At 44.9% G+C, this 23242-nt stretch overlaps 1 protein-coding gene across 1 annotated transcript in view, besides 6 other annotated features; it reads right to left on the bottom strand.

Annotated features, from left to right (window-relative positions):
* Positions 1 to 13453, bottom strand: part of RAB7A (RAB7A, member RAS oncogene family) — an 88616-nt gene extending 75163 nt beyond the window's left edge. Inside the window, exon 1 of the mRNA NM_004637.6 lies at positions 13277 to 13453. The gene's annotated coding sequence lies outside the window, so the exon portion shown is untranslated. The remainder of the gene's footprint in view (positions 1 to 13276) is intronic.
* Positions 4761 to 4810: an enhancer, noted in NCBI's record as "active region_20494". NCBI's record gives its function as "activates an Ori minimal core promoter by ATAC-STARR-seq in GM12878 lymphoblastoid cells {active_cell/tissue: GM12878}" and the evidence as "EXISTENCE:reporter gene assay evidence [ECO:0000049][PMID:35858748]".
* Positions 8119 to 8288: an enhancer, noted in NCBI's record as "experimental_64587 CRE fragment used in MPRA reporter constructs". NCBI's record gives its function as "activates a minimal promoter by MPRAs in K562 erythroleukemia cells, with activity observed for both the introgressed and non-introgressed 3:128450276 variant alleles {active_cell/tissue: K562}" and the evidence as "EXISTENCE:reporter gene assay evidence [ECO:0000049][PMID:34662402]".
* Positions 12586 to 13570: an enhancer, noted in NCBI's record as "H3K27ac hESC enhancer chr3:128444909-128445893 (GRCh37/hg19 assembly coordinates)". NCBI's record gives its function as "activates a minimal SCP1, AML or CMV promoter by ChIP-STARR-seq in primed H9 embryonic stem cells {active_cell/tissue: H9 hESC(primed)}" and the evidence as "EXISTENCE:reporter gene assay evidence [ECO:0000049][PMID:30033119]".
* Positions 13030 to 13319: a silencer, noted in NCBI's record as "silent region_14711". NCBI's record gives its function as "represses an Ori minimal core promoter by ATAC-STARR-seq in GM12878 lymphoblastoid cells {active_cell/tissue: GM12878}" and the evidence as "EXISTENCE:reporter gene assay evidence [ECO:0000049][PMID:35858748]".
* Positions 13600 to 13729: an enhancer, noted in NCBI's record as "active region_20493". NCBI's record gives its function as "activates an Ori minimal core promoter by ATAC-STARR-seq in GM12878 lymphoblastoid cells {active_cell/tissue: GM12878}" and the evidence as "EXISTENCE:reporter gene assay evidence [ECO:0000049][PMID:35858748]".
* Positions 20423 to 20623: a silencer, noted in NCBI's record as "peak4821 fragment used in MPRA reporter construct". NCBI's record gives its function as "represses an SCP1 promoter by STARR-seq MPRAs in K562 erythroleukemia cells {active_cell/tissue: K562}" and the evidence as "EXISTENCE:reporter gene assay evidence [ECO:0000049][PMID:32103011]".

Below are 23242 nucleotides of genomic sequence, written 5' to 3'. Positions count from 1 at the left end.
GAAGAGTATGTATTTTATGATCTCATTTAAATTTTATAAAAAATAAACGTTTTGAATTATAGCCATCAAATTATCCAGAATGACAGAAAAAAACTGTTCACTTTAAGACTTTTTTTTTTTTTTGAGATGAAGTCTTGCTCTGTTGGCAAGGCTGGAGTGCAGTGGCGCGATCTTGGCTCACTGCAACCTCTGCCTCTCAGGTTCAAGCAATTCTCCTGCCTTACCCTCCTGAGTAGCTGGGATTACAGGAGCGCACCACCACACCCAGCTACTTTTTGTATTTTTGGTGGAGACGGGGTTTCACCATGTTAGTCAGGCTGGTGGTCTTGAACTCCTGACCTCAGGTGATCCGCCCACCTCAGCCTTCCAAACTGCTGAGATTACAGGCGTGAGCCACCACTCCCGGCCCGCTTTAAGACTTTTATACTGCTTCTGTAATTTAGAAACGAGTACACATTTTAAAGAAAAATCTAACTGCCTACCAGTGCCTCTTGCCTCTCAGAAACGAATGGGCAAAGCTCCATATACTCAATGGCTAACAGGGTCCTTAAAGTTTCTGATGGTGTCAACTAACCAGTTAGGATGTTGCAAAAGCCACAGCAGTATGTCCAAGAGTCAGAGAATGTCAAAATACGAAAGGATCTTAAGGATTACACATTACTCTCGTTTTTCAGAAATGGAGACTAAAGCTTAGTAACAGATTTGACAGCCATACTATGGCCTTGCTTAAGAAAGCTTCTACAATCCTACAGCTTCTGACACACTGATTTCAAACAATGTGAAGAATTTACAGGCATTTTTTTTTCCAACCAGGTATGACAACAGATGTATTGTACATGTATCTATCAAAAGCCATTTGAGAAATATCCATTTAGTTCTTTCTTTCAAATGGTTAACATTTGGGGAAAAACAGGTAAATCAGTCTGGGACTTACCCTTAAGGCCCCCTCCTAAGGTAGGAAAGATACATATACAAAATCCACAACTATAAGATAATCTGTGGCAAGCCCCAGGGATTCAGTAAAAAGAACACTATAGACGTAAGTGGTCAAGAAAAGCTTTAAAAGTGGACTGGTACCTGAGTCAGGCAGGATGCCAACAGAGTACTGGAGCTAGAAAACAGAGATGAAGGGGAATTGACAGGAATCAAGATAAAGGAAGTAGGGAACAAAGTGTGGTAAGGAAAAGGTGAATAAAGCAACTCAGAGGAATATGTGTCTTTATCAAAAAAAACAAAGCCAGGAAGGCAAGCTGGAGACCATTTGTGGAGAGCCTCAAACAAGAATAATGGAAAAACATAGGGTTCTTGACGAGTAGTGGCTCACATCTGTAATCCTAGCACCTTGGGAAGCCAGGGTGGGCGAGCTACTTGAGCCCAGAAGTTTGGGACCAGCTGGGCAATATGGCCAAGACCCTGTCACTATCAAAAAAACAAAATTAACTGGGCGTAGTGGCACACAACTGTAAGCCCAGCTACTCAGGAGGCTGAGGTAGGAGGATGACTTGAGCTCAAGAGGTCAAGGCTGCAGTGAGCTGTGTTCAGGCCACTATACTCCAGCCTGGGCAACAGTGAGACCTTGTCTCAAAACATTAAAATATAAAATAAAAACAAGAACAAATCCTTAAAAAAAAGGGGAGTGGGGTTTCTAAAGACAGGGCAGAGCTGGGCATGGTGATTCATTCCTGTAATCCTAGCACTTTGGGAGGCCAAAATAGGAGGATCACTTGAGGCCTAGAGTTTGAGACAAGCCTAGGCAACACGGTGAAACTCTATCTCTTAAAAAAAAAAAAAAAAAAAAAAAAAAAAAAAACTACAAAAAAATAGCCAGATGTGGTGGCATGTGCCTGTAGTCCCAGCTACTGGGGAAGTTGAGATGAGAGGATCACCTAAGCCTGGGGAGGGCGTGGCTGCGGTGAGCCATGATGGCACCACTGTACTGTAGCCTGAGTGACAGAGTGAGACCCTGTCTCAAAAAAAAAAAAAAGAGAGACAGAAAGATAGGTGGCTCACACATGTAATCCCAGCACCTTGGGAGGCTGAGGCAAGCAGATTGCTGGAGCTCAGGAGTTCGAGACCAGCCTGGGCAACATGGTGAAATCCCATCTCTATCAAAAATATAAAAAATTAGCTGGGGCATGGTGGTGCACACCTGTAGTCCCAGCTACTTGGGAGGCTGAGGTGGGAGGATCGCTTGAGCCTGGGAGGCAGAGGCTGCAGTGAGCTGGGGTTGCACTGTCACTGTACTCCAGCCTGGGTGACAGAGCGAGACTCCATCTCAAAAAAAAAAAAAAAAAAAAGGCCGGGAGCGGTGGCTCACGCCTGTAATCTCAGCACTTTGGGAGGCTGAGGGAGGCGGATCACAAGGTCAGGAGATCGAGACCATCCTGGCTAACACAGTGACACCCCGTCTCTACTAAATATACAAAAAATTAGCCAGGTGTGTGGTGGCGGGCGCCTGTAGTCCTAGCTACTCGGGAAGCTGAGGCAGGAGAAGGGCGTGAACCCGGAAGGTGGAGCTTGCAGTGAGCCAAGATCGCGCCACTGCACTCCAGCCTGGGTGACAGAGGGAGACTTCATCTCAAAAAATAATAAATAAATAAATTTCTTAGGATCGGAAGGTGATTAGTGAGTAAAGACGGGCAACACAGTATCTATAACTAAGCTCTTTTTAGCATTTAAATTACCAGCTGATTTGTAGAAAGAGATTCTGCAAATGAGAGCTATTTCCCCCAATAGCTATTACATATTATAAGCCAAGTATGATACTAGTGCTATTTCCCAAATATTTCCAACTCCGTGCCTTCCAAGTCCACACATGTAGGATCACACTTGATTCCTTGTGTGGTGTGACTCATTTTGGCCAATGAACCCTAAGCAGAAGTGACATGAAATAATGTGTCATTCCTGTGCTGGAATTTAACTGTATTCAACTGTATTTAAATTTTTTTAAATTTAAATACTGTTAAATAACTTTATTTAACAGTATTTAAATTTATCTGTATGTGCTGGATTTAAACTGTACGTGCTGGAATTTAACTGCCTCCAACAGTTCTTTTTCCCTTTGCCAAGACAGCCATCAATACTCCTATCACGGCTGCTCCTTTGGTTGGAGTAAGAATGATGCAGAGCCTCTAGAAAACCCATGCTCTTTTTGACCACTTTGAGGTTATTGGTTACTACAGCATAACCTAGCTTATTCTGTCTGATAGTGCTTGAAGATTCACCACCTGAAAATCTATGTTTCAAAAGAAACAGACTAGTCTGAAATCCCTCTTTTAAAAACATTTAAATAAAACTGAATGATAAAATGTACAAAGGCTGTTCTTCCGCAGAAGATGCTATTATTCTTCTGCCATTATTAAAGAATTATCTGTCAACTTGGAATACTGGATGCTAGTCCCAGTCCCACTAACACACAGTGGCTCCAAGATACTGAGCATGACCTTTTAGTCCATTTCCTCATCTAAAAAAAAAAAAAGAGACAAATCAAATGCTGCTTAAATTGTGAAGTTTAAACAAGGTAACAACCTCTATGAAATGTAAAGACATTGTTTATGTACTTTGCTCTGAGTACTGCATTCCTGCTGGGAGGGAAAAGGCAAAGGCAACTTACACAAAGAAGAGTGTCTTGGAAGGCAATTCTTGTGAAGAGGACTTCACTCCTGGATCAATAGATTCTTCAATACGATGCACCACTGTCATCAAGCTTTCTGAACCCAGGTACTAAGCCAAAAGTTTAGTCTCTAACGAGAGACCAGGATGATTCCTGCCTTTTTTTCTTTTTGGTAAGGCAAACTGGAAAGCAGATAGCTAGTAAAACAGTTACATAAGAACTATCTTCGATAGTTTGATATCAACCCTAGATTATCTCAGGCATTTAACCAGTAAAACAGACTGCCCATAAATTGCTAAGAGGAGCCCACAATGGGCTGGCTAAAGAGGAAAACCAAACTAACTGCTCTCTTCCTCTATCCCACCTCCCCTAACCAGCTCCCATGTTTAACTTTTCATTAAAGCCACTTCTGAAGAAGCAACTCTCTGAAAGTTTAAGCACAACTCTTGTAGTATTTCAATCCTAGCCCACTAAGCTCTTAATGTATGGTTTCTTTAGACAAATTACAACATCAAAGCCATTCCTCACCCATAACTGGGGTACTATCTGACTTAATTGTGAGGTTCAAGTGACAGGATTATGCTGTGTCTATTCCAGCATTACAGAGTGAAGTGCCACTTGGTTGAACTTAAATCCTCTAACAAGGGATTGCAGTGCCTGCCCTCCCTACCAGGATCTGGTTTCCATACATACAGTCATTCCCAAATTAGAGCTACTGCAATCCCTACATCCATTCATTGACTTATGCCATTCTTTCCAACTATAATGGTTTCCCAACTCTCACCTGCCTACCAATTTATTTAAAAATCCACTCAACATGCCCCTCACCACCCCAGGCATTGAACAACTCTAAACTAAGTAACTCTCATCTGCCCTGTATTTACAATTATTCCTGAATAATTCTCCACAGGGGCCAACAGTGTTTTCTTATAGTAGAGAAGAAAAACCTGTTAAATGAACACAGAACACATAGTTCATCATTCAGGAAACCCACATATATTAACCACTGACCCAGAAGCATAACTTACATGCTATAAACGGTAACTTACTCTGAAAAGCTAGAACTGGAAAAAATTTAAACAAAAGCTTAGTAATATTTCAAGATCCATTCTAGAATAATGATTCATCCTTGTCCTCAAGTGGCTTAGAGTTGGAAGACAGGCAAAGTCATGTAATATTATTTCAATCAAACTAAGGTCTATAATGGATACACAAAGCTGAAGATCACGCAGCCAAAAGGCTGGTGGTGAAAGGCCCACTAATATCTGAAGGGTCAGTCAGAATATGCAAAACAGACCTATTTCTAGCATATGTACGATAGAATGTGATATTCTAAGGGCTCAAGTGTCTGACCAAAAAAGAGAGTTGGAATGAAAGCACCATCTACTATGGTTAGATCTACACCCCACAGATTACTCTTTCACAGGCCAATTCCACCACCAGGAATGGAGTCCAGACTATAAAAGTAAGCTATGGGCAACTATGGAAGACTAACTGCTCATTCACTGGACTGAAGCGGTGTTTTCCTTTCTTTCTTTTCTTTCCTTTTTTTTTTTTTTTTTTTTTTTGAGGTAGGGTCTCATTCTGTCGCCCAGGCTAGAGTGCAGTGGTGAAATCTCAGCTCCACCTCCCAGGTTCAAGCGATTCTCATGCAACATCCACCTCCCAGGTTCGAGCGATTGTCATGTCTCAGCCTCCCAAGTAGCTGGAATTACAAGTGCCCACCACCACGCCTGGCTAATTTTTTGTATTTTCAGTAGACACAGGGTTTCGCTATGTTGGCCAGGCTGGTCTTGAACTCCTGGCCTCAAGTGATCCGCCCACCTCGGTCTCCCAAAGTGCTGGGATTACAGGCATGAGCCACTGTGCCTGGCCGAACCTCTGCTTTTAACCCCAATGGATTTAAGTAGCATTTACAAGAGGTAGTCTCAAACTGACACGTTTTACTCCAGGATAACCTTCCCCAGTCCCTTGAGGTTCCCCTACACTGGTGAGTAAACAAGCTGTACCATGGTGCCATAAAGAAATGGCTTTCTACCAGAGGGAACTAAAATTAGAGAGAAAAAGTTACAAGTGCTAGCAAGGATGTGGAATATTTGGACTTCTTATATACTGCTGGTGGAAGAATACGCTGGTACAACTTTTGAAAACTGGCCATATCTACTAGAGCAGAATAGATACTCTTATGAAGTGAACTGTGTCCACCTAAAATTTTTAAGTTGAAATTCTAATCCCCAATATATCAGAATGTGACTTATTTGCAGACAGGGCCTTTAAAGAAGTAACTGAGGTTAAGTGAGGTCATAAGGGTGGGCCTCAATCCAATACGACTGGTGTCCTAAAAGAAAAGGAGAATAGGACACAGCCAATACAGAGGAAAGATCCTGTGAAGATACAGGGAAGAGAAGACAGTCATTTACAAACCAAGGAGAGGCTTCAGAAGAAACTAATCCTCCCGACAGCTTGACCTCAGATTTCTAACCTTCAGAATTGAGAAAATAAATTTCTGTTTAAGCCACTCTATCTGTGATACTTGTTACGGCAGCCCTAGCAAATGAATACAGACACATACCCTAAAACTCAGTCTTTTTACTTAAATACATTATGATATATCACATAATACTACTGAGCAATGGAAACTCCAGTTACAACTGTACACAACAACACAAAGTCTCACAAACAACACTGAGTCAAAGAAACCAGATACGCAAGAATACACAGTGTATGATTCCATTTACACAAAATCCAAATCAGGCAAAATTAGTCTACAGTTCTAGAAATCAGAAGACTCACTACGCAAGCATCAGGGCATCGATGATAATGACTTAAAGGAGACTAAGAGGGCCTCTGGGTTTATAAAAATTCTCTAAGCCGTCCACTTATTTGTGCACTTTTCTGTATATATGTATGTTTACTAAAATACAGAAATGATAAATTACTTGGAAATACAGGCAACAATGTACTTATCCAGTGTTACCATGGCAAATAAACCTTACTCTGGAGCTGGATGCATCAGGTTCCTCACTCGTTACCAACAAACATTTGAAAAATACAGCTATTCCTATGATCCCCAGCTTCTCATCATTCAGTGTCTACTAGGAGAAGTATCACAGGTCACATCACCCAAGAGTATCTGGTCTCCTCCACAGTTAAATTCTCACATCATTTTTGGGGAGAGTTCAATTTCTTTTTTCTTGAGACAGGGTCTTGCTCTGCCACCCAGGCTGGAGTGCAGTGCCACGAACACAAACCACTGCAGCCTTAAACTCCTGGAATCAAGTGATCCTCCCGTCTCAGCCTCCCACCATCTGGAACCACAAGTGTACCACCACACCCACCTAATTTTTTCTTTTCTTTGTAGAGATGGAGTCTTACTTTGTTGCTGAAGGTGGTCTTGAACTCCTGGGCTCAAGCAATCCTCCTGCCTTACCCTCCCAAAGTGCTGGGATTACTCCTCCCAAAGTACTGACCACCATGCCTGGCCAAGAGTTCAATCTCATTAAAGGAAGGTATGAAAGTATACATTCAAAGGAAGAAAATAACCAGTTAACACTTTGGTCTTCCTCGGGGTAGTGAATCACAAATTTTCCTTCTTTATATTTCTGAATTTTCCTAGCTTTTTTTTTTTAACTGAATAGTTTAATAATCAGCAAAAAAGACGTATCATTTTAAATAAAAGGTAGTGGGCCAGGCGTGGTGGTTCACGCCTGTAATCCCAGCACCTTGGGAGGCCAAGGCGGGCGGATCACAGGGTCAAGGGATTGAGACCATCCTGGCCAACATGGTGAAACCCCATCTATACTAAAAATACAAAAATTAGCTGGGCATGGTGACGTGCACCTGTAGCCCCAGCTACTCAGGAGGCTGAGGCAGGAGAATTGCTTGAACCCGAGAGGCGGAGGTTGCAGTGAGCCGAGATCATGCTACTGCACTCCAGCCTGGCGACAGAGCTTGACTCTGTCTCAGAGAGAGAAAAAAAAAAAAGGTAGTGGAAGAAAGAGACACTTTTTTTTTTTTTTGAGATGGAATCTTGCTCTGTCGCCAGGCTGGAGTGCAATGGCACGATCCCGGCTCACTGCAAGCTCCGCCTCCCCAGTTCAAGCGATTCTACTACCTCAGCCTCCTGAATAGCTGGGACTACAGTGCATGCCACTATGCCCAGCTAATTTTTATATTTTTAGTATAGACGGGGTTTCACCACGTTGGCCAGGATGGTCTCTATCTCTTGACCCTGTGATCCACCCTCCTCGGCCTCCCAAAGTGCTGGGATTACAGGTGTGAGCCATCGCCCCCGGCCGAAAGATACACTTTTACAAGGGGTGAAATGTCGTGGTCTTTAGGGCACTAGCATATAATGGAAAGGCAGGATGGTACATCAGAAAGAGCACTGAACTGAGTTAGCAGACCTAGACTGACATTCCAGCTGAGCCACCTGAGCATACAGCCTCAGCTATTTCAGGCAGATACACACAACAGTTGTGAGCACCAAATGAAATCACATGTAAACTACAAATACCACAGAAACATTAAAAAGCATTTAAAGGCAAATGTGTAGGAAGGTTTCTACAAAATGTTATCGCTTTTTTAACAACCATTAACATGGTGCAGGTCAGAGGATTTAAGAGTGGGTTTTAAATGACCCGCAGTTATCTCAGGGATCCTCATATCTGTAAGTGAACAGAAGAACTGTTGGTAGGCTGACTGAATACCACATATAAGGGACACTATTTTTCATAAAGTCTATGCTTGGTTATTTAAGGTTAATTCATAGCAGCTTTGTAATTATGCACTCTCAAATAACTCAAACTACAAAGCTTATTCAATGGAAACCAACTTTTTATTACACTTACATACCAATATTGGAAATCAATGATGTAACTATTTACTTCACTAAGTAACTTTTAAAGGACTCCTGATCTGAGATGGTTAATGCCCAGCAGTATGAAGCAAAGCTGGAAAGGAAAGGCTGAGGGAGAAGAGAGAACTTCCTTTCCTTTATCTGGCAGCAGCCACACAAGAAGGACCAACTAAGAGACAAGCAAGGCTGGAGAATTCCTAAACTGCCCTTGTCCCAGGCTCCCCTTAAATAGGCTCCCTTGGATTTGCTTGGTCCCAACTGTAGACAGTCCCAGGACACCAGAAGTGGACAACAGAATCAGGCAAACTTAAATTTCTCAGCAGTGATGCCATCACCAAAACAGAGACTCCAGGCCCCATGAGTTAAGTACTGCATCTTCAAGCAAATGAACAAGGCCAATGCTGTAGGTCAGCATTGGAACCAACTCCCAAGCTTTCTTCCTCCCACAAGGAGATATTTTGCAAGTAGCTATTCTTAAATATGTTTTTGTAATCACAGCCTGGGATACTAAAATTGAAACTGGTAACAGACACTGCTAAAAAACTTGTTTTGATTTCACTCGCCACATCACTTTTACCTCTGATTCACAAATCGCAGTGACCACCACCATTAAGAAATGTTTTAAAAATAAGTTTTAGGCTGGGCATGGTGGCTCACGCCTGTAATTCCAGCACTTTGGGAGGCCGAGGCGGGTGGATCACGAGGTCAGGAGATCAAGACCAATCTGGCTAACACGGTGAAACCCCGTCTCTACTAAAAATACAAAAATTAGCCGGGCGTGGTGGTGGGTGCCTGTAGTCCCAGCTACTCGGGAGGCTGAGGCAGGAGAATGGCATGAATCTGGAAGGTGGAGCTTGCAGTGAGCTGAGATGGCACCACTGCACTCCAGCCTGGGCTACAAAGCAAGATTCCGTCTAAAAAAAAAAAAAAAGTTTTAAAACACAAACTATTTTTCTGTCTTTAATGCCATATGGAGTGTGGGGAAAAACAGAATAGAAGATTTAAGAGCAAATAACTGAAAAGATCAGCATATTGCAAAAATGTTTCTGCAGCAAACTGCAGACAGAGAAGCATAGAGAACTATTAGATAATATTAACAGATAAGCATGTGGTAACACAAAGGAATGGATGCCTGAGAATACAATGGTAGCCTTCCTTACATGAGAGGTAAGAATCATCAACAGCAAGCCAATAGCCAAAAAATAAGGGGGGAGGCGGGGAGTTCATTTCTCGAGTTTCAGTCGCCTTCAGAAGAAGACATTTAATGCCAAGGGGAACCTCTGTTTAGCCTTATTCAGGAGGACTTCTAATCCTTACCTCCCCAGGAAAAGCCTGCCTACAGCTCCAAGTCCAACATCTGGTCAAATCTATCTCAGCTGTATTTGTTGAATTAAATGAATGGGGAGATAAATACTTTATCATAGGAAAAACTAAAATATTTGTGTCAAATGCCAGAGAGGAATGTGCATAAGACAACTGTCATATTTGCGTGGTCTGTGTTTGCTACATCTTTGTTTACAAAGTCTAATGCCAAAGTAAGAGCAAAAACGTTATTAGTGAAGATCCCTTTGAAGACTTTTTTTTTTTTTTTTTTTGAGAAGAAGTCTCGCTCTGTCGCCCAGGCTGGAGTGCAGCGGCATGATCTCTGCTCACTGCAAGCCCTGCCTCCTGGGTTCACGCCATTCTCCTGCCTCAGCCTCACGAGTAGCTGGGACTACAGGCGCCCGCCACCACGCCCGGCTAATTTTTTGTATTTTTAGTAGAGATGGGGTTTCACTGTGTTAGCCAGGATGGTCTCGATCTCCTGACCTCATGATCCACCTGCCTCGGCCTCCCAAAGTGCTGGGATTACAGGCGTGAGCCACCGTGCCCAGCTGAAGACATATTAAAAGCTAATCAAATAACCAAAATTTTTTGGCTTCACTTGGCAGTGGGGTCAGAAAACTGATTCAAAGCCACACTTTACTATAAAGAGTTGTTCTCTGATTACAGGGTTGGTGAGCTTAGACACAGTTGGCACTAAAAAAAAATTTTAAAAAAAATTGCCCCAAGTGGTTGCTAACTACCTAGAAGGATATACTAATAAAACTATTTTTAGACTATCTTCTACATTCCACCCTCTGTTTACTTATGCAGTTCTACCACAAATGTAAAATCCAAATCTTCCCTTAAAGAAGGGAATCTAGAAAGTTGTGGGAGATAGGGTAACACAGCTTTTCTATGTAGAATGGTACTGAAACTATGGCCAGTACACTATCAGTGCTACATTAAACTTTCTTGCCAGCTGAAGAAAAAAATCCAGCATGCCAAATGTACCTTTGCTCAAAGACATGGCAGTGCAAGGTAATTACAGTAGTGACATGGACTACCTCTTGAGTGAACAAAAAAATGCTACCAGAGTCGGCCGGGCGCAGTGGCTCATGCCTGTAATCCCAGCACTTTTCGGAGGCCGAGACAGGCGGATCACCTGAGGTAGGCAGTTCGAGACCAGCCTGACCAACATGGAGAAAACCTGTCTCTACTAAAAATACAAGATTAGCTGGGCATGGTGGCGCATGCCTGTAATTCCAGCCACTCGGGAGGCTGAGGCAGGAGAATGGCTTGAACCCGGGAGGCAGAGGTTGCAGTGAGCCGACATCGCGCTATTGCACTCTAGCCTGGGCAACAAGAGGGAAACTCCGTCTCAAAATATAAATAAAATAAAATAAATGCCACTAGAGCAAAAGGAGAAACAAGTTGAGTGTTGAAGGTTACTCTTTAAAAGATGTGATTAATTAGAAACTGTAATATTATCTTCTACACTCTCTGAAGAGCAAACCATACAAATGCTGTTGTTAAAATTAACAAAGCCTTAAAGTTAGCCAGAAGAACACCATCCTTTGGGTTACTACTGATTCACCAGCAGAGATGAGAAATAACTCTTTCCAAAAAGCCTCAAGTTCTACCGCCAAATTATTCCACAACAGAATTTCTGGCCAAGATCATTCACCTTTTAAAAATTCCTTGAGGACAGGAACCACGCCTATCTCCCTGAGTCAATGTCCCACAATGCCTGATACATTGCTGATACTCAATGGATACTCAAAATACTTAATGAATGAATAAAAAGGTGCCTATCATTACTCTAAACTCAAACATTATATAAAGCCACAGTACTTATTACTCACTTAAATATTTTAGGCTAGGTAGCAAAGTTAAAAAAAAAAAAGACAAATATGAATACAACAGGATTGTGAACGCTAAGCTTTAACTTAGCCGGTCCCTTCTTCAGAAGAAGTACTCCTAACTCACCTTCCAGTCCTTAAACTCAAATCTGAACAAACCTTCCCAAGTTTGAAGAGAGAAACACACTAAGAGGAGACTTTATTCATCCATGGATGAGAAATCATGTGCTTCATCAGCTGCTTAAGTCACAAGAAAGAGACAAGAGTCCGTTCTTTAGGAAACCAAAGATGCAGTATTTTGAATAGGGAAGAACCAGCCGGCTGGACAGCCATCAACTAAGGTTGTAAGAAAGGTTCACTAGGCAGGTTTGCCAGGCCTACCTGCAAAATTTTTCAAACCTCAGTTAAGTACCCTGCCGGTATTCAAGAGCTCCTAATTCGGTGACACTACACCACAATATGTGTGATAAGTCGCAAACGGCATTTCTTATGGCTTTAAGGGAGAACTGATGCTACCAGAAAGACTTTCAAATGACATCAATAGAAAGAAAGGAGGTGGTGGGAGGCACTGAGGTACAGATACCAGGTAGCAAAAGATAAACCAGCAAGCTTCAGGGGTACGTGAAAGCAGTACAACCTAGAAATTTAATACAGTGCTCTGGAGTCTGACTGCCTGGGCTTGCATCTCTGCTTCGTAACTTATTAGCTGTGTGACCTTGGCCAAATGGCTTAGCCTCTCTGTTCAACTTCCCACTGTGTTAAGTGGGCACAACAGTGGTACTTCAGAGGGTTGTTCAAAGAACTAAACATAATGATCTGTTAAAAGGTCTTGCCACGCTGCCTAGCATACAATAAACGCTCAAATATTTGCTGTCAATATTCTCAATATTCCCCTTATGACCCCATTAGGTATCAAGCCTAAAATGAATGCAGAAAGAGGCCCCAAACACGGTCGGAATGGAAACACAACTCTACATCCAACTACCATCTTTCCTCGATTAAGTTGAAAAACTTCTCTCAGGATTTACCGTAACATGCCTAGGACAAAAAGCTCCCTGTCTCCCAGCGCCAGAGGCGCCTCAATGTACACAAGTGTCGAGGCGAGCCCAGCGCACGTGACCTGACTCACTGCCTTGACTCAGTTGCCGTCAGGGAACTCCCACTAACAGGGTCAGGCTGTTCAACTGAAGAACCGGATGGGAACGCGGCTCGGCCCCCAGCGCCTGTGACCCATGCCCGCCGGGTGGGCACGGCGGCGGGCGGCGTGGGCTCTGACACCCTCCTGCTCGCCGCGCTAAGGAACTCCACTGGCCAGCGCGTCCTGCCGCGGCGCAGGGCCGCCCAAGTCAAGGAACCCTCTCGGGTCTCTGAGATCCAGGCCAACAGTAAACAGAGCGTCCGAGACGGGTGGCCGGGGCGGGCAACCCGGCCAGAGGTCACGCCCGACGACCTCCGACCTCTCCAAGCCGGGTGGGGTCTTGGCCTGCTCCGGGGGCCTGAGCGATGCCGGGTGTGCCCGCGTGGCCAGGGCTGGGACTGGAGCCTGCCCAGGAGGACAGGGAGGACGCGAGGCCCTGGCGACCGAGGGGCTGAGGGGGGGGATGGGGCCAGGCCGCCGGCCGGGCTGGGCCCGCTGCTTACCGCGGCCGCTGCGCTGGGGGCTCCGGGCCGGGCGCGTCGCGAGGGCTCCCGCCGAGGAGGAGACTAAACGGAGGACAGAAGCGAGAAGGTCCAAGTTCTGGTTCCAGGGAACTCTCCCGAGCTCTCCAAGCCGCCAACTCCGCCGCTGCCGCCGCCTCAGGCTTTATGGCCAAGACTCCAGGCCCGCTCCCACTTCCGCCACCGCCGCCGCCCCGAGCGGAAGTACCTGTCACGAGACGCTCGACGCCAGGGTGCGGGGGAGGAGCCCCGCCTCAACCTTGCGTCACGTTCCGGCTGCCTCGGGACTGAGCCTGGATCTCGTGCTACAAACATGTCTGCCCCCAAATGGTTGTCCCCATCTTTGAGGCTCATACAAGGAGCAGGACGGCGCCATGTTGGACCCACAGACAGATTCCCTCAGCCATCCCTCCTTACTCCAGAATAAATAATGCCACCGAAGAGGGGACAAGGGGTAAACTGGCCATTCCAGTTGTGTCCTTCTTCGAAAGGCATCATTTATCCTTACTTTAATTACTTAACCAAAAATTATTATCACCATTTTACAAATAAGGAACTGAGACTCAGTATATCATGTCACTTGGTCTAGCTCAACACAGAAACTGGTGGAGCGAGGTTTTGAACCAAGATCTGTCTGATGCCAATATGTGTTATCGTTCTAGTAGACTGCAAATGACTACAGCAATTGTGTGGCTCGGTGATAGAGACAGGAGAAATAGGCACTTTGTCTGGCAGAGGAGACAGCCCAAGAAAATGGAAAATGAGCTAAAGCCTCTCTGAACTTAGTATTAGAGAAGATGTGATAAAGATGGACCGGGTAGAACTCTTCTTGTAAGCACAGAGCAGCCTCCCAAGCACCAGCCCCATCCGAACACATCAGGATCCACTCAGAATTTTTGCCTCCATCTTCAACAATGCCCTCTCATAGTCTTTTCTTATTTTGGTTCATGCAAGCTCCATTCTTTCAATTGTTCCATCCAAAAACCTTGCAATTGTTACAGTAAGTAGTCAGACCTGAGCAGGGCAGGAGAGGGGCCACTCCCCGACCAGCAATGTGAGGCAACCATGACGTGGTTGTCAGGTTAAGCTGTCTCTCTAAAATAATAATTGGTTGCAGCCAGACCAGAGAAAGGCAGTCTCCCAATAGATAAAAACACCTAAAACTGGTGATCAGCAGCTTCCCGATAAGATCTCAGGAGTTGAGGGGTCTGGGGAAAAAAAAAATCTCAAAAGCTAGGCAAGCAGTCTCAACCCTGAGATGGTACAATGTCTGGGGTTTCCCCTACTTTTTCAACCAAAATTGGCTCTTTCCCCAAAACCCTCACCACCTATTCTCCTGTTTTCTCTATGTGTATTCTGAAATGGCCTTGCACACTGCAGAACCATCCGCCTCTGGGGTAAGTCCACTCTTTCTCTGCTTTCACTTTGCATGTGCCCAGGAGTTCAAGACCAGCTTGGGCAACATAACAAGACTGTCTCTTCCAAAAGATAAACAAAAAAGAAAAGAGAAGGCACACATCTACATCAGACCTCTGCAGTTGTACTTCTCTCTACCTGGAAAGCTCTTCCTCCAGGTATCTGCTTGGCCACTCCCTCACTTTCCTCTGGTCTTGACTTTAAAGTAACCTTTTCAGTGAAATAGCCTTCCCTATTTAAAACTGAAGTCCCTCTCCCTGTCACCACAATACAAACACAAAAATTGACATCTCCCTACTGCTTTTCTCCTCTGTTTTTTCTTTTTTATTTTCTTTTTCTTTTTTTTTTTTTTGAGAAAAGTTCTTGCTCTGTTGCCCATGCTGGAGTGCAGTGGCATAATCAGGGCTTACTGCAGCCTTGAACTTCTGGGCTCAAGTGATCCTCCTGTCTCAGCCTCCTGAGTAGCTGAGACCACAGGCGTGCACCACTATGGCTGGCTAATTTTTTTTTTTTTTTTGTAAAGAGAAGTTTTCACTATGTTACCCAGGCAGTCTTGAACTCCTGGTGTCAAGTAATGGTGTCAAGTAATCCTCCCGACTCAGCCTCCCAAAGTTTTTCCTCTTATACTACTCACTTATTTGCATATTGTCTGTCTTCCCCACTAGAATGGCAGCTCCACAAGGCAGCTATTTTTGTCTGTCTCATTCACTGCGATATCCCTGATTCTTGAAACAGTGTTGGGGTACAGTAGGTGCTCAATGTGTACAATTTGCAGAGTATTCAGGGGAATGAAAACTGAAAATAGTTTCAAAGGCCAAGAGTTATGATAATTCCACCCCGTTAGGCAGCCAATCAAAATGCTAGGTTTGAAGGTAAAGTAGCAACTGGGAATGCAGTAGTCCTCATCCCCAGGTTTGGCAGGGCTGACTGCAGGATTTGAGCATCTGAGTCCTAGAACCAATCCACCACAAATAGCAAGGGACAATTATACCAGAAAAGGCAGAGCACAAAAATAAAATGGGACATGTGGGCCCCAGCCTTCTAAGAAGCCTTCTGAGAAGGCTATTCAGATGCAAACATGGACTATTTCCTATGGGAAAGAAAGGACAACTTAGAAGAAACCCATGAGCCAAGAGGATAGAGCCAGGAGCTGCAGATAATCATTCCCAAGGAGCAGGAGGGGACTCGAATCAAGGAACTGGCATCACGTGCCTCGCTGATTTCAGAATTACTATGACCCAGTGGCAGCTGTCGCTCCTGTTTTTTCCCCTTTTGAACAAAAGTGTCTACTATGCTTATCTTCTTCTTGCCAACTCTGTATGCTGGGTCCGTGGACAGCAGATAACATCTCTAGCTCACAGGCCTTCAGAGGAACAGTGCTCAGAGCCGTTCTTAAGGAATTATATCTGAGGAACCTCATCCACATCTGGACCCAATTTACATGGCAAGATCCATTATGAGCCAGTGATGTATTGGGATTGAGACTTTTAGGGTTCTTGGGGGAGTTAAGTAGAGCAGGGCCTCCAGTAACATCATTTCAATTATAACATTGATGAGAAAAAATTGATTCCTGGCTGGGGCCCCTGTCTGTGTAGTTTACACTCTTTCCCCATGTCTGAGTTTTCCTTGGTTCCTCTGGTTTCCTCCCACATCCCAAAGATGTGCCCTTTAGGTGAATTGGCTTGTCTGAATTGTCCCAGTCTCTGTGTGTGTGTGTGTGTGTGTGTGTGCACGTGCGCACACGTGTACACAATGGGCTGGCATCCTGTGCAGGGTTGGTTCCTGTCCTGAGCTGCCAGGATAGACTGGCCACCTGTGACCCTGAGATGGAATAATTGGATAAATAATTATCTTGCTCATTTTCATTAATCTGTCTTAAATATATATATAGTTCACATTTACTTTAATATTTAATATTAGAAGTGTTTTGGTCTTTACCAGCCTGACCAACATGGTGAAACCCCGTCTCTACTAAAAATACAAAAATTAGCCGGGCGCTGTGGCACGTGCCTGAAATCCCAGCCCAAATCCAAGGGACATCTTGGCTTTAGCACAACCTACTCTCTTGGGAACTAATCAATTCCTGTGAGAACTCATCCAGCCTCACCAGAGCCAGAACTCACTCACTCACTCACTACCTAGAATGGCACCAAACTATTCATGAGGGAACCCCCCCACAACTCAAATACCCCCAACTAGGCCCCACCTCCCAAATCTCCACACTGAGGAATCACATTTCTTTTTTTTTTTTTTTTTTTTGAGACAGAGTTTTGCTCTGTCGCCTAGGCTGGAGTGCAGAGGTGCTATCAGCTCATTGCAGCCTCCACCCACTGGGTTCAAGCAATTCTCGTGCCTCAGCCACCCGAGCAGCTGGAAGTACAGGCGTGCACCACCATGCCCAAATAATTTTTGTATTTTTAGTAGAGATGGAGTTTCACCAAGTTGGCCAGGCCCATATTGAACTTCTGGCCTCAAGTGATCTGCCCCCCTCAGCCTCCCAAAGTGCTGGGATTACAGGCGTGAGAGCCACCACTCTCAGCCTGCCTGGATCACATTTCTTTTTTTTTTTTTGGAGGGGGCAGAGTCTCGCTTTGTTGCCCAGGCTGGAGTGCAGTGGAGCAATCTTGGCTCACTGCAACCTCCATCTATGAGGTTCAAGTGATTATTGTGCCTCAGCCTCCCGAGTGACTGGGATTACAGGCACCTGCCACCATGCCCAGCTAATTTTTGAATTTTTAGTAGAGACGGGGTTCGCCGTGTTGGACAGGCTGGGCTCAAACTCCTGAGTTCAAGTAATCTGCTCTCCTCAGCCTCCTAAAGTGCTGGGATTACAGGTGTGAGCCATTGCACCTGGCCTGGGATCACATTTCAATATAAGATTTTGGGGGCACGAACACATCATATCCAAAGCACAGCAGGTATGTTGGAGGAGATTAGGAGTGAGAAGTTCAGTTCTGGAAATGCTGAGACAGAGGACTTCCGTGAAACATCCAAGTGGAGATGGGGAGGAGGCAGTTAGACATTTTGGGCTGAGGCAGAGATGGGAGTTGGGTTTCTGGGTCCTTCAGGGTAGCCTCAGCTGAAAATAGAAATTTAAGAGTAGATGGAAATGAAAGTAACGGGTGTTAACAGGATTGCCCATGGAGAAAGTGGACAAGTACATCCTTCTTTCAACAAACGATTTACTGAGAATCTCCTATATGCTAGGCTTTTTGTTAGGTTCTAAGGACACAAGGAAAACAAGGCCATTGATATCAAGAGCCTTACTACTTAGTGTGGTACACAATGTACAAACGTACACACACACACACGTCCCTGCACAATTTTCATTCAAATTTCTATCAATAGGGAACTGGTAAAAAAGGTATGGTACATCTTGACAATGAAATACTGTGCAACTATAAAAAAGCAATAAGATAATTCTCTATATATTGGTATGGAAGGATCTCCAAGAGATATTGTTACATGATAAAACCAGATGCAGAAGAGTATCGGGGAACCTGCCCCCGATAGTCACATAGGTTTTTTTCTATTTTCCCTAAGCATCGGCCAGGTTGAGAAATAAAGGGACAGAGTACAAAAGAGAGAAATGTTAAAGCTGGGCGTCCGGGGGAGACATCACATGTTGGTAGGTTCCGTGATGCCCCACAAGCCGCAAAACCAGCAATTTTTTATTAGGGACTTTCAAAAGGGGAGGGAATGTACGAATAAGGTGTGGGTCACAGATATCATGTACTTCACAAGGTAGTAAGTATCACAAAGCAGATGGAGGCAGGGCAAGATCACAGGACCACAGGACCGGGGGCAAAATTAAAATTGCTAATGAAGTTTTAGGCACCATTGTCATTGATAACATCTTATCAGGAGACAGCGTTTGAGAGCAATCGGTCTGACCAAAATTTATCAGGCAGGAATTTCCTCATCCTAATAAGCCTGGGAGCGCTATGGGAGACTGGGGATTATTTCATCCCTACAGTTTCGACGACAGAAGACGGCCACACCCAAGGGGGCCATTTTAGAGACCCACCCTCAGGGGCACATTCTCTTTCTCAGGGATGTTCCTTGCTGGGAGAAAGAATTCAGCGATATTTCTCCCATTTGCTTTTGAAAGAAGAGAAATATGGCTCTGTTCTGCCTGGCTCACCAGCAGTCAGAGTTTAAGGTTATCTCTCTTATTCCCTGAACATTGCTTTTATCCTGCTCTTTTTTCAAGGAGCCCAGATTTCATATTGTTCAAACACACATGCTCTATAATTTGTGCACTTAACGCAATTATCGCAGGGTCCTGAGGCAACATGCATTCTCCTTGGTTTAGGAGATGACAGGATTAAGAGATTAAAGTAAAGACAGGCATAGGAAATCACAAGGGTATTGATTGGGGAAGTGATAAGTGTCCATGAAATCTTCACAGTTTATGTTTAGAGACTGCAGTAAAGACAGGCATAAGAAATTATAAAAGTATTAATTTGGGGAACTAATAAATGTCCATGAAATCTTCACAATCCACGTTCTTCTGCCATGGTTTCAGCCAGTCCCACTGGGGTCCCTGACTTCCCGCAACAGAAGAGTATATATCATATGCTTTAAAAGGTAAAGAATAAGAACATCCTTCGGCAACTAATAAAAGTGGTTACCTGGTATATCAATTAAAATCAGAGAAGTAGAAGCACTGTGAGTGATTAGAATGAGGAATTAATGGAAGGGGCTAGACCTTATCGATTTGTGGGAGTTGGTAGAAAGTCTACACAGGCTGTTCCTTCTGTGTCTGGTGTTGAGCCCAACGTCAGTCACTACAGGTCAGTTAGACCAGCATTCAGGAATAAAAGCTGGATGTGGATAAGAATAATGACACACTGGGGCCAAGGAGGATAAAAAGAGCCACCCATGAGGACCAACTGGGAGCCATATCTGTCTCTCATCACTTCTAAGTTCAGTGCCATGAATGGGTGAGCAGCAGCAGAACCCAACACCTTTCATCCAGAGCTACACACACACTTAGGCCAGGATTCAGAGAAGCCAAAGGAGGAGATCTGGTGGGGGCTGTAGGAGATGCACTTCTGGGTTGGCACCCTTTGCCAACAAGTCTAGTTACACAATGAATAAGCTGCCCCAGTGCTTGGCATGCTGCATGACCTTCAGAGTACAAAAAATATTGGCCAGGCACAGTGGCTCACGCCTGTAATCCCAGCACTTTGGGAGGCCGAGGCAGGCAGATCACGAGGTCAGGAGATCGAGACCATCCTGGCTAACATGGTGAAACCCCGTCTCTACTAAAAATACAAAAAATTAGCCAGGTGTGGTGGCACGCACCTGTAGTCCAAGCTACTTGGGAGGCTGAGGCAGGGGAATCACTTGAACCCAGGAGGCAGAGATTGCAGTGAGCCAAGATCATGCCACTGCACTCCAGCCTGGGCGACAGAGAAAGACTCCATCTCAAAACAACAACAACAACAACAAATTGGCCAGGCACGGTGGCTCATGCCTGTAATCCCAGCACTTTGGGAGGCTAAGGCAGGTGGATCACCTGAGGCCAGGAGTTCAAGACCAGCCTGGCCAACATGGCGAAACCCCGTCTCTATTAAAAAATACAAAAAATTGCCAGGCGCGGTGGCTCACGCCTGTAATCCCAACACTTTGGGAGGCTGAGGCGGGCAGATCACGAAGTCAGGAGATAGAGACCATCCTGGCTAACACGGTGAAACCCTGTCTCTACTAAAAATACAAAAAATTAGCCAGACGTGGTGGTAGGCTCCTGTAATCCCAGCTACTTGGTAGGCTGAGATAGGAGAATCGCTTGAAACCAGGAAGTGGAGGTTGCAGTGAGCCGAGATTGCACCACTACACTTCAGCGTGGGTGACAGAGAGAGACTCTGTCTCAAAAAAAAAAAAAACAAAAAAAAATCACTGCTGTTAGAGAAGAGAATTCTGGTAAATGGTAAATGTAGCTTAATTGACACAGCACAAAACCACTACACTATTCCTGATGATGGGACAGGAAAGGGAGCTGGGTTTTTCTGTGGACATCAGTTTATATATGTTTAAGTTTTAACCATGATATTTCATTAACTATCAAATGTTTCAATTTTTTAAAAAAAATCCATAATGTGATCAATGAGATGCAGACAATAAAACAGTGTTACAGAACAGTGATGGAGGTGGAAGTGAGGAGAGGTGACTTAGACATAGGTGGTCAGAAAGTCCTCTCTGAGGAGGTGCCTTTTTTCTGGAGACAGAATCTTACTATGGTCCCCGGACTGGAGTGCAGTGCTATTCACAGGCACAATTACAGTGCACTGCTGCCTCAAACTCCTGGCCTGTAGCTCTCCGTCCTCCTGTCTCAGCCTCCAAGTAGCTGGGACAACAGGCATGTGTCATTGCACCCCACTGGAGGTAACATTTGAGCAGAGACCTGCTGACATGGAGCCAGCCTTTTGAGAATACCTGAGCAGAAAATGTTACAGGTGGAAGGAATAGCAAGGGTAGAAGCTTTGTGCAGAAAAAGGTGTCCTGCTCAAGGAACAAGGAAGCCAGCGTGGTTGGAGCAGAGTGAGCGAAGGAGAGAGTAGAAACAGTTGAGGTGGGAGCAATGTGCAAACCTAGGTCATATAGGGTCTCACAGGTCATAGCAAGGCCTTGCAAATTTATAGCATGTGTGATGAGAAACCCTGTGGAACATTTTAAGCCAGGGGGTGGGGAGTATGTGTGTTTGTGTGTGTGTGTGTGTGTGTGTGTGTGTGTGTGCGTGTGTGTGTGTGTGATGTGTCTTCCTTCACAGGTTGTTTGTACAGCAGAGCCTTTTCTGGCCACCGCCCTTTTCTCCTCTTTTCCCACAGTGAACCCATGACTCTCTGGCTGTTTATTTATCATCGAAACTGGGGGGGTCTTTCAGGGCCAGGACCTGCTCTGGTCTACTTTGATGTCCCCAGCACCCTACTGGGCATTGACAAATGTTAACACATAGTTGAGCAATTTAAAGCAGAGAAAAATATTGAATTATTCTGACATAGCTTTGCATGATTTATAAAGTTCTCTGGATTTTGCTACCTTATTACTTTGTATGTATTTATTTATTTATTTTTGGGACAGAGGCTTACTCTGTCACCCAGGTTGGAGTGCAGTACTGTGATCATAGCTCATCGCAGCCTCAACCTCCTGGGCTCAAGTAATCCTCCCGTCTAAGCCTCCCGAGTACCTGGAACCACAGGTGCACCACTGTGCCTGGTTAATTTTTTTTGTTTTTTTGGTAGAGATAGGGTCTCACTGTGTGACCCAGCCTGGACTCAAACTCCTGTCTTCAAGCAATTCTCCTGCCTTAACTTCCCAAGTAGCTGGGACTACTGGCACGTGCCACCACACCGAGCTAATTTTTAAATACTTGTAGAGATAAGGTCTCACTATGTTGCCCAGGCCGGTCTCTAATCCTTGGGCTCAAGTGATCCTCCCACCTTGGCCTCCCAAATTGCTGGGATTACAGGTGTGAGCCACTGTGTCTAGCCAGGTTTTGCTGCTTTAAAGTGGACAATTTTATCCAAGGTTTCCTTCTTGGCAGTTTTTATTAATCCAGAAGTCACCAGCTGGCTGTCCCAACATGCCGCACTATAGTCTTTCATCCTTGGTAACTTCTGGTCCCCAGCACCCAGTCTGAGCTCCTGTGTCAGTGCAATTCTCTTGAGCTCTCTGGGCCCCAGTATCCTCACTTCCCATAGTGGTGATATGGTCAGGCTCAGTGGCTCACTCCCAGCACTTTGGGAGGCCAAGGCGGGCAGATCACTTGAGGTCAGAAGTTCGAGATCAGCCTGGCCAACATGGTGAATACAGTCTCTACTAAAAATACAAAAAATAAGGCCAGGCATGGTGGCTCACACCTGTAATCTGAGCACTTTGGGAGGCCAAGGTGGGTGGATCACTAGGTCAGGAGTTCGAGACCAGCCAGGCCAACATGGCGAAACCCTGTCTCTACTAAAAATAGAAAAGTTAGCCAGGTGTGATGGTGCACACCTGTAGTCCCAGCTACTTGGGAGGCTGAGCCAGGAGAATCAATTGAACCCGGGAGGCAGAGGTTGCAGTGAGCCGAGATTGCGCCACTGCACTCCAGCCTGGACAACAAAGTGAGAATCCGTCTAAAAAAAAAAAAAAACCAAAAATTAGCCAGGTATGATGGCACAGGCCTGTAATCCCAGCTACTCAGAAGGCTGAGGCACAAGAATCTCTTGAACCTGGGAGGCAGAGGTTGCAGTGAGCCGCGATCACACCACTACACCCGGCCTGGGCAACAGAGCAAGACTGTGTCTCAAAAATAAAAAAATAAAATAAAATAAAATAATAAAATGGGCCAGGCGTGATGGCTTACTCCTGTAATTCCAGCACTTTGGGAGGCCAAGGTGGGCAGATTACCTGAGGTCAGGAGTTTGAGACAAGCCTGGCCAACATGGCGAAACCCCGTCTCTACTAAAAATACAAAAGTTAGCCTGGCATGATGCACGCCTGTAGTCCCAGCTACTCGGGAGGCTGAGGCATAAGAATCAATTGAAC

The sequence above is a fragment of the Homo sapiens genome, chromosome 3 (assembly GCF_000001405.40).
Source record: "Homo sapiens chromosome 3, GRCh38.p14 Primary Assembly".
Lineage (NCBI taxonomy): Eukaryota > Metazoa > Chordata > Mammalia > Primates > Hominidae > Homo > Homo sapiens.
The sequence above is the reverse complement of the archived record's forward strand: the minus strand, read 5'-3'. Positions and strand labels throughout refer to the sequence as shown.